The following is an 11,499-nucleotide window of genomic DNA, read 5'->3' on the forward strand; positions in this document are numbered from 1 at the left end:
CGCACACCTGTGATCCCAGCAACACGAGAGGCTGAGGCCAGAGAATCGTTTGAACCCTGGAGGTGGAGGTTGCAGTGAGCTGAGATCGTGTCACTGCACTTCAGCCTGGGTGACAGAGCAAGACCCTGTCTCAAAACAAAAAACAAAAACAAAAAAAACCTAAGCTATAAGTAAATATAAATAATTTTATCAGTTATATTTTTTTCCGTAATGACTACTTTGATGCTTTTTTATTTCTGCCTTAACTTTGTGTTTAGTGTGTTACCTTTTGAGAAATCCAGTGCTGACCTTCAGTATAAAAAAGGTCAGTTCAAGCATTAGGAGATATACCTAATGTAAATGACGAGTTAACGGGTGCAGCACACCAACATGGCAGATGTATACATATGTAACAAACCTGTACATTGTGCACATGTACCCTACAACTTAAAGTATAATTTAAAAAATAAATAAATAAAATGATTTAAAAAAAAAAAAAAAGGTCAGTTCAGGCTGGGCGCGGTGCCTCACGCCTGTAATCCCAGCGTTTTGGGAGGCGCAGGCGGGTGGATCATGAGGTCAGGAAATCAAGACCATCCTGGCTAACACGGTGAAACCCCGTCTCTACTGAAAATACAAAAAATTAGCTGGGCGTGCTGGCGGGCGCCTGTAGTCCCAGCTACTTGGAGGCTGAGGCAGGAGAATTGTTTGAACCCTGGAGGCGGAGGTTGTAGTGAGCCAAGATCGCGCCACTGCACTACAGCCTGGGCGACAGAGCGAGACTCTGTCTCAAAAAAAAAAAAAAAAAAAAAAAAAAGTCAGTTCAGACCCCATTAAGGAGTAAGGAGTTGGTACAAGAAGACTGCTGTAAACTTCCAACCTTTAGAAATAGCTTCTTCCTATGTGTAAGTTTATTGAGGAAGAACTTTGGTGAAGTTGTCTGTGCCTCCTCCTGTAGAAAGTCCATGCACAGGGGTCTGTTAGAAGTCGTGTGTAGAAAGTTGCTACCTCACATCTCTCCCCACATTCTATCTTAGCAGACAGGTAAATAAAAGATATGTGTGAGAGAATATGGCAGTTTTTCTTTTGCTTCAACCAAAGGAGACAGGATTTTTCCCAAAGTTTGTACTCTTAATATTATAAATATATCAGGCTGAGCAAATGGTTTTAAGACAATTAAACTGCTGAAAACATCAAGATTATGAGATTCTTCTATGCTGATGCTGTTTGAGGATATTGTTGGATCAGAAACATTTGTAGTAAAATTTATTTTCATAATATAGCTCTATTTCCTAAGTTTAAATATTTTCTAAAACTGAGGCACTGGAGTCCTGCAATAATGTTGGCTTTGGAGTTAATGTCTACATGACCCTAAATAACTGCACCAAATTCATCTCTTTCGTCCATTAAATACCAGTTACTTGGATACCTTCATGTATCATATGTCTTTTTGTCATATGTCTTTCAAAGGTCATCATATTCTTATAATCACCATCAGGACAATTTGTAATGGCAGGTTTTTTTGTTTTTGTGTTTGGTTTAGCTTTGCTATGTTCTGTCCTTTAAGGGCTATATGTGATTACTACTCAGCCATCACCACTATGGGGCTATGGCAAGATTTCAGCATTCTTTAATGATTTCATGGTAGAAAATCTTGAATTTGTGTACTTGTATAACAGCAGCCTACATTTATATGTATTTACTCTTTCCCATTGAATTCGTCTTCTATTCAGCTAAAATTGTTTTATTCCTTATTTTGCATTTATATAAGAATTCATTGTCTAAAATATATCTTTATAGATAGATAATTTTATGGTGAAAGATTAATTAGGAAAAGCTAATGAGAAGACAGTTTTTAAAACATTCATAATTTCTGGTTTTTGACATCACTTTTATTCATTTTAAAACTTATGTTGAAAATACTACTTCTGAAAAAATAAATAAAAATTACATACAGATTCTTGGATAAATGAATGAATTGCTAAATAAAAATAATAACTTTGAAGATTTCTTGGAAGATATGTAATGTAAAGTAGTTGATATTGTCAGTTAACACTGACTATTGCATGTACTGCTCTGCATCATATGCTTCTATCAAGTGGTTTTTGTTAACTATGTGATAGGAAGAATAATTTGAAGTTATATTTACAAATAGTTACTTTTCCTGCTATTATCATTATCCTTGATTATTTAATAATTTTTACAAATCATACTCCAGCTGCAATAACGGATTAAAAGAAAAAACTGACTTTAAGGATTGTGATATCGAAATAGATGTTACATTGTCTTGGAGGCAAAATAAAAAACAAGTTTTTAAGGAAACAAAGTAGGAAAAAATATTACCAGAGATTATATTAAGTAGTCCAATACTTTAAAATGTTAAGGCTAAAACTAGTTAAGTAGTTTTTATGTTTTTATTGGTAATTTATTTATAATAAACATGAGGTACTATGTTTTAAAATATAGTGTAACAACTCAGCCATGCTTTCACATTTTAGTAATTGTATACTGTAGTATGTTATTTTGTCATTTTTAATTTCAAAATGGCTTTCAATATTGTATGTCTTGAATTTTTTAAATGGTGAAACTGAAAAAAAAATTTAAAAAGGATTATTGTTGGTCTAGGTGACAAAAATGTGGTTGTAATTACAAATTAAAGATAATTTTGAAAAAGAGGTAGTTAACCAGGTTAGGTTAAATAAGATTAAACGATTTATGGCCATTTTATAAAATAATGACAGTCTTCATTTTAAGCTACAATGTAAAGTGCTTTATTCTGAGATTAGGTATTGTGGCAGAAGCTAAAACTGCCTTTTTTTCTAGCAGTGCCAGAATACAACCTCTTTTTCTTTTTGCACTAACAAGACTGCTTTACCACCACAGCCCACTCTAAGTAATTAAATCAATCCTTTGTACTTACCGTATTCTCCTCTAGTGACGGTACTAGATCTGATTATATGCTTCATGCATATTCAAAGTACCGCACTGACAGCTCTTTAATGAGCTCTTACTTAATCAGTATGAACAATGTTCATCTTGTTCTTTTTTTCCTCATGCATTAGAGCTACGAACAGTTGGGAAAAATGAAACATCCAGCATTCATTTGAAAAATATATTGTACTTTGAAAAGTGTCTAAGCTGAGGAAGTTGCATTCTGCCCTTTAAAAGTCTGATGGACAAATTGGATTACTAGTATTGGATTAAATAACAAATGGTTAGAGGAGAAATGAGAAAAGCTCACTGTGATCACAGGCTTTAATATTTTTTGTTACTTATAAAGCTAAAGGGGTCTTTAACCAGTTATTAAAGTCAGGATTAATTTGTAATGGTTCAACTTACTGGCTTTTAAAAGCTTTTTAAATTTAAAAAATTTGAGAGCCCTGAAAACAATAGTGTAATGATGTATTAGAAGAAATTTTAATTTTTTTAGTATGAGGTTACGTATAGATGTCCATCATTGTATACTATCGCAGATAAGGATTTGGTGATACAGAATTGATTTATCTTCAAATATGTTTTTCCAGTTAAATGCTCTGTGAAGCAATGAGTAATGTGTCCTTAAATATTTCTTATTGTTAGGCTTATTTCCTTGTAAAACATGAGATTCTTTTGTTATTAGTCATTTCCTAACAATTAGAGGAAGGGGATCTCTTATTCTTCACTAGAATTCATAGGCATAAGTTTAACTGAAAATAACACAGTACCACATCAATATTGTTATTCTGAAGGAAGCAGCCTTCCATTGAAGAAAATGATGCTAATTTAAGAGTAGGCTGATTGCTTCTAGTATTGCCTGAAAACCTCAAATTATAGGTTAAGTTAAACGCAAAAGAAAGTTTTAATAAGTCTATATTTTTAGAAATCACATAGGTTATGAACACAAGAATTAAGTCTTTAATCGGAAAGTAAAATATCATAAAATCTACACCTATTAATATTGCACACATGTGGCATTTCACTGATCAAAAAGGCCTTCACCAGGGTACAATTGGCCTTTTTCCAAATTGCAAGCTTTTTCTCAGCTTTTTCTTTTTACTCTTTCTTCTTTTGTTGCTACCCAGGGATTTGTGCCTATCGCAGCCTATATCACATGACCAGTGTCAAGACATCACATGGTCCAAAGTGAATACAAAACCAGCTACCCTAAAAGAGAGATTAAAAATACTGTAAAACAATAAAGACTTTTGTTCAGACTCTAAAAGAATCTGTCCTAAGTCGGCTTCGTACCATTAGTTTTAACAGCATTGAATGAAGGCATATATTCTCAACTATTCTCCCTACTGGTAAACAACAGCTATCTATTTTATAGGGATGCTCTGAAATACATGTTTAATCCCTTACACACAGATTAGCTTTTTATATTCTATTTGTATTCTAAAAATTATTTAAATTTGTATTAATGTAGAAATACTTAAATAAATTATGGTATGCTCATAATTTATGCAAGCACTATAAAGAATGAGATAGATATTTGGACAATATGACAAAACAAATCATAGATGAATATGTAATATGAGCTTTTATGTGAAAGAAACATGTATGTGTCTATAGATACAGTATATACACATGTGTGATAGACATAGCTATCAATGTGGTCTCAAGGAGATATGTTAAACTATAATCATACTTACCTGTGGAGAAGGGAAGTGTGGGGTTGGTGGAAGAGGGCTATCCTTGACATTTTACGTGAAAAGAAAATCAAACTTAGGGAATAATAATCTGAAGGGAATTATTTAATTTTTAATAGATATTTAAATTAACCTTATGAATGCCATACAGAAGTTAGACTGAAATATTAAATACTAGCTTAGCAAAACAATAAACCAGTCATGGGAAAAATTCAGTAAATAAACATTGAAGAATTAGAAATTCGACTAGGTATAATTTGAAGGGAGAGAAAGGAAGCTAGGAAAATTAATATTTTTCTTCAGTATAATTGTGGCCTACTTCTACATGAACAAATGCCAAACATATACTATATTATAATCCTTAATATGGATTATATTGGCCTTTGTGAGGAAGTGGCAGGGTGGTATTAGATGATGGGATGGATATTAGCGATGGAGAATTTTAAGTATCTCCTGTGTACAATCAGTTATAATCTAAAATGTTCAGTTGTCACTCTGCTCACATGTTTTCTGAACATCATGATGTTCATTAAATTTTTTTTTTCATAGATAGCTGTGGGTATTTTTTTGTAGCCTGGTAATTTACAGTGTATTTAGTAATTTATAAGTAGTCTACCCTATTAGGGATGATGAGTTCCAAAATGTCATATATATCTCTAGTTTACTTTTGGGGAGGAAAATAAGAAAATAGCAAGTTGTTAAAAATGGAAACTTTCACACAATCTCTGGACTTCCCTGATCTTCCTGCTAGTCTTATGAGTCTCATAATGATTTTTTAATTTTTTTTAATCATGACCATATGTCTCTCAGCACTGTGAGTTCCTTATTGAAACATAATAGCAAGTCAGCCTCTAGGGAGAATTTAAAAGGTAGGACATTTTGTTTACTGTACTTAGTGTTAATATGATCTATCGGTATGTTCACGGAGAGTAAAATATGCATGCCGAATAATACCACCTTAAGATTGACTTTTCTTTTTTCAGGACTTAGACTTTAACCTTCTTATAAGCAGTTTAATATATAGTATTAGAATAAGTAAAATGTTTTCTATGTTTAAAAAATTATGTGCTAAACTACTATTTGGCTTGTTTTAACATCGTATAGTAAAAGGTAACTCTTCCCGAATTATAGGAAGGAACACAGAAGAAGAAGAAGCTATGATGCAGGAATGGTTTATGTTAGTTAATAAGAAAAATGCCTTAATAAGGAGAATGAATCAGCTCTCTCTTCTGTAAGTACTCATCATTATGCTTGTTTTGCCTACAACATTGATAAATCTTAGGCCTCTTGTTATTGCCTTCTTTGGGATTTAATATTTATTCGGTATTTTCCCTTTCCTTAGCGATTACATGTTTTATAAAAAAATAAAAAATAGTATATGACAGTTTTCATCTTATAAGAATTTTTAAATGGAACAGTAGACACTGAAAAAGTGTTTATTATACAGAAAGCCAAGGAATATAAACAATTATTGTATTTAAGAAGTAAATCACTTATACAAGGAAAGGAAGTTTGGTTTATATTGAGAGAGGGGAAGATAAATAAAATTAAAGTTTATTTAACAACAAATTCTAAGTTAAATAAAATAACTCTTAATAAGGACAAAAGTACATTTATAGTCTCAGGTGATGTTACTCTAAATTTTGGGATAAAAGATAAGTTACTAAAACAAAAGTGACCTTTTTGTGATTATAAGAATTACAGTAAAATGGAGTCTAGACAAAATGTAAGCATTCTTAGTTTTTAGCATTTTAGTTCACCGGAGGACTTAAGCACGTTCCTTTCTGCTCACTAGCAGTATTCTTCTAGTATGCCACCTAGCGTGAGAATGAGCAGGCTTACGTGGTTTATTTTAGTGAAAAAGTCTAATTTTATAATTTCTGCCATGCCTGAACTTGATAAAAGAGTTATGAAGAAGCACAAAACTTTACAAATCCTGAATTGTGGTCTCTGTATTAAATTTGCACTGCTGGTACTTTCATGTTTCTTGTATTCTTTTCATATGGAGTTTTGGAAAAAAGAGATTATAAATTATGAAAAATATTTTAGAAAATAGCCTTATACTTGGCATTTACTACAAGAAGCAATGAAGAAAGTGAGTAATTATCCTCAGATTAAAATATACCTATGTAACATTCAGAATTGAAGGAGGAAAATAATAGCACTAGTAAATATTCGACTGAGGAAGGTTTTAGGTTTGTGTATCATTCATTTGGAGTGGCTTAAACTTAAAGAGAAAAGTCAGTTATGAGTCCTAAAATCAATGTAACCTAAAGGTTCTTTTAAGTTTTTAATGATTTAGTAATTAGCATATTGATGAACTTTTGCAACTTGCCCAGGGAAAAAGAACATGATTTAGAACGACGGTATGAGCTGCTGAACCGGGAATTGAGGGCAATGCTAGCCATTGAAGGTAAGAAATGCTATGGTGGGGTGAGGTATGTGACGTGTCAGTTGTCAAAGAGATTTAAAGAATATAATACACTTCTGGTCTTACTAGATCTGGTGTACTAGGGACCTTCCGGAATTGCAAATAAATGCCGTGGAGGCAGAAAGCAGTATCCATATAAACTTAAGGACCCTAATTCAGATAGATAATCATTATGTTTGCTATTAATAGTAGCACAAAATTGTCTTAACTTTTGATTCAGTAAGCTTATATGTCCATAAAATGGAAAATAAAAGGAGTTGATTGATTTAATTACATTTTACTTAAGTGTGATTTAAAGTTGTTTCCACTCGGGAGGTTTGGAAAAGATTTATCATTTTGATTTTTTACATCCAGACTCTAAATTTTACTTTAATTGATGTCAACATTGAAATATGTTCCTGTTCAGTCTACTACAGTTCTTAAGATTCCAACTTGTATTAAGTGAATATCTGGGCAAAGATTGGCATAAAAGATAAATGAAACAGTTTCATGCTTTTCATAAAGCTTTTAAATGAATTATATAGTAATCCTATGCATGGTTCATATATCAGTAAACATCAGCTAGCTTATCTGGCATTTACTATATATGATTTTTTTTTAATTCTTAGGTGCTTTATAATGCTGTTCTCCTTATATCTCAGTTGAAAATGTCTTATAGTTCAAAGATGTCTGCTTAAAAGCTAATCCTTTGGGCTCTGTAAAATGGACCTTTTGTCTAATCAATGCAAACTGATTTTCCTATTCTATATTGACCTCTTAACCCATTGACTGTCCATGGTAATTTTGTTCTTCACCTGATAAGGTACCTGATCCATAATAAGTCAATTCTAATTAGTTCAGAAACTGGAAATTTAAGTACGTAAGGGAAAGCCAAGTGAAGCCTTATATTCTTAAAATATTTTAATAAATATTGTCACCAAAGTGCATGCTATTTGTCTGAATACTATCATATATGCTTGTAGACATTTCATTTTTAGTTACTTTTATATTCATAAACTCATTTGATAAATATCACTGGCAACATTTGTATATCCTCATTTATAAATCTGATTTACCTTATTTTGAAAGGCTTCAGTTAGCCAATTTCCTTCAAGTGGCTACCCAGATGTATCAAATTATAGCATTGATAATGACTATAAAATTTGTCAAAATTATTTAAGAAGTTCTGTGAAACGTGCCATTGAAATAAAGTGCACAACTATACTAAATGGTATTTTTCCTCTTGATATAGTTTTTGTAGTCATGGTATAGTCTTTAAAAGAGCAAAATAGTCAGTTGAAAAGTAGACACAGCAAATACTATTTATATTATATATATATGTATGTGTAATATATAATGTTTATATATAGTATATATAATACATATAACTCATCATACAGTTTATTATTTATAGATTCATTGTACACTACACTCAACACAGAATATTCTTTACATTTTTATCTACACTTTCACGTATAAAAAGATAAACTATCCCCAAAATACAGCTTGATACAATACAGTTGACTTTAAGATAGATATTGGTTCTAACCCCAAAACCAATGTTATAACCAAATAACTGTCTTAAAAGCAGGGCCATGACACATTAAATAATTCAATTTCCTCAGCAGTCCTATCCCTATATACCAGATTTACAGTGTTAAATAATCGAATATTTTATCTGCCTGACCTGCTTGCACATACAGAAAAGCAGTAGAAAGTCATATATTTGAAGAAAAGGGGAAAAATATTTTTCTTTTTAAAGCAGTTTTACTACAGTTGTTAGTGTTTTGCATTATCATTCTCTTTTGTGTTTTAAATACATTGTCTGTATATATATGACTGTGCCTTAAATCTCTCGGCCAGTTTCCACTGCTGGTTGAGGGAAAAAGGAGACTTGAGAAAAGGAGCAGCCTGTTGATTACAAATAAAGATACTGTCTTAAGAAAGAGGCCTGCCCCACTAGCCTGGGCAGTACATGGGCTGGGCTGTCCCAGAGAGGTGGTGATCACTGTGAAGATCAGCTCTGTGAAGACAGTGTCCTCTGAGCCAACCCTTAGAGTGGACACACATTCAGATGAATAGCCTTTTTAAGTGTTAACACACCACAGAAAAAAACACATGAATAAGCAACAGTAGTTAGTTTTGTTTTGCTTTCTTTTATTTTAAAGTTCATTTCTCTTTTCCCATCCCTCCTACTTAGTAGCCATAAGATGGTTTTAGTAATAAATAAACTAAAATCTTTTCAAATAAATCTGCTGCTGAAACCATTCACCAGGAGAACAGCATAGAATATTGATAACCATGGCACATTGAAAGAAATATTAACAGCTTGGTTTGAGAGCAAAAAAAAATAATATTCAATACATCCATTCTTCTGAGAATCCATAATCACTTTGGCCTGTTTTTTACCCTTTTTCTCCTGAGGTGTTTTTCATAGCAGGAGTTTCATTCTACTGAACTAAGTTGTAGGATCCCTCAAGCTAACAAACATCTTTTAGATACTTTTCCTATAGTTTTTTTTGTTCCAGATTATTTAATGCCCCCTCAAGAAAGATAAATTCATTTCTGCACACATTGGGGTGGGCTTTTAGAAAGTGGTATGTTCATTTTCTGCACAAGAAATGGATCTTCTCTAGGATTTTGTACATCTTGATTTATTCCTGGCTTAGAGTTTGAAGTGGGCGCTCTTCTAAAGGGATTTATGCATAGGTTCACTATTTTTGTAGTTATGGTTTATATGATAAGCTTTTTATATTTAAAATCAATATGTAATCCTGTGGAGGAGCTTATCCCCTAAAACCCCATTTGTAAATCTATTTTAGCTTTGTTACACAGTACAGCCACAGTCTTCCATAGATTGATTAGGTACAGCGGTAGAATCCTATCAAATGGCCTGTTCTGATGATGATGCAAACTCTTTCAGGATTGCTAGTTGACTGGAACTAAAGATAAGACTTGACTGCAATCCCCCAATGTGCTCTTTACAAAACTAGTGTTAATTTTCATCAAAGTGCCAGGCTTATTTATAGTGGCAAGGTTGAAGGTTTACTACAAGAACTTTAGGTCCTTTCTGTTAAAGTGTTTATAGGTATTTCTCTTGCCTTTTTTCAAGGTAATTATCAACTTCAGCAAATAAACTGAATCAGGGAGTGAATAATTGGCCCTATATATAAAAAAGAGTTTTTTAAACTAACAAAACAGCTCAGTGCAGATGGACATAAACAGAATCTCTTTATTTCAACACTTTGGCTCAAATGCAGCATCAAAACTTAATCCTATTTGTTACAAGAGGATATGGCTTTTGTAGCAAAAGTACACTGGAATCTTTAAATTAATCAGAACCCACATTGTAGTTTGTCCAAGCCAAAGTCAGTGCAGTTAGGCTTGAACATGCGAATGTGAATCTTGATCAATTTTAAATGTAATATTACATTTTTTAAAAAAGATAAAAATAGTTTACTTAATTTCTCAAATTAGCATTCAAATATATATGTATATGTATACATATGTATGAGTTTGTGTACATATATATTATATAATTTATTCCCATTATGAGAAAACAAACGTGAAGTAAAAGTATAGTTTGCTAATGTAAAATCTATTCACTGCACATTGCTATTTCCTGTACAGTTGACTAATATTTTGTAGACAGATATTAATGTAGCACTGTAATGACAGATTTAATATTTTAAAAACCTATAAATTTATGCTGGGATATTTTAAATTCTAATGTCATTTAAATTTGACTCTGAAATGATGAAAATTACCTAAATATTCTTAATTTTTAAATGATTTCATTACAGTTATAGAAAATGTCATTACTGAGCTAGGGAAAAGTTAAGATATTTTAAATTACTCAATACTTCAAAGGTTAAAATTTTCTTTAATGTCCTCTCTTATCCATTTTGTTAAAGTCCTAATTTTTTCAATATTAATGAAATCTTGGTATTTTTAATTACTAATTAAAGCCTTAAAAGCAACTGGTCAAGTTCAGAGAAGGAATAATTAAGAAAATTATATGTGTTGTTAAAATTTATGTTTTCTTGGTTTAATTTTTTTAATATAATTTTCAATTTAATTCTATTTTTGAAAATGTATTCAATTGTAAAGCTGTTAGCAAAATGGTTTCGAAGTAAATAATTATAAATCAAAGCTTATAATCAGAATGATTTCTTGAGGTTGGAAGTGAAAAAAATTAACATTCATTAAACTAGTAATCTTAATATAAAATTTAGTCTCAAATCTATTACACATTTAGGTTTTTTTCTGAAATAATATTTCTAGAATTATAGTTACCTGAAATTAGACTAGATGACCTTTAAGATCTTTCCAACCTGGAGAGCCTATTAATTTACCTGCTGAATAAGACTGATTTAAGAACAAGAACCAGATTAAAAAATTTTCCAGCATTCCTCTCCTCAGTTGCATTTAAATCCAAAGAATAAAATTGTGATATATATGGCTGCTCTTCAATTTTGCTGT

The 11,499-nt window shown here is 31.6% G+C and overlaps 1 protein-coding gene across 52 annotated transcripts in view; it reads left to right on the top strand.

The window, feature by feature from the left end:
- Positions 1-11,499, top strand: part of EHBP1 (EH domain binding protein 1) — a 372,610-nt gene that overhangs the window by 357,919 nt on the left and 3,192 nt on the right. For all 52 annotated transcript variants that reach the window (XM_047443744.1, NM_001142615.3, XM_011532718.4 and 49 more), the window contains 2 exons: positions 5,739-5,838; positions 6,947-7,020. In XM_047443744.1, the coding sequence (XP_047299700.1) occupies positions 5,739-5,838; positions 6,947-7,020 (174 nt within the window). The remainder of the gene's footprint in view (positions 1-5,738; positions 5,839-6,946; positions 7,021-11,499) is intronic.

This window comes from Homo sapiens, chromosome 2, assembly GCF_000001405.40.
Source record: "Homo sapiens chromosome 2, GRCh38.p14 Primary Assembly".
Lineage (NCBI taxonomy): Eukaryota > Metazoa > Chordata > Mammalia > Primates > Hominidae > Homo > Homo sapiens.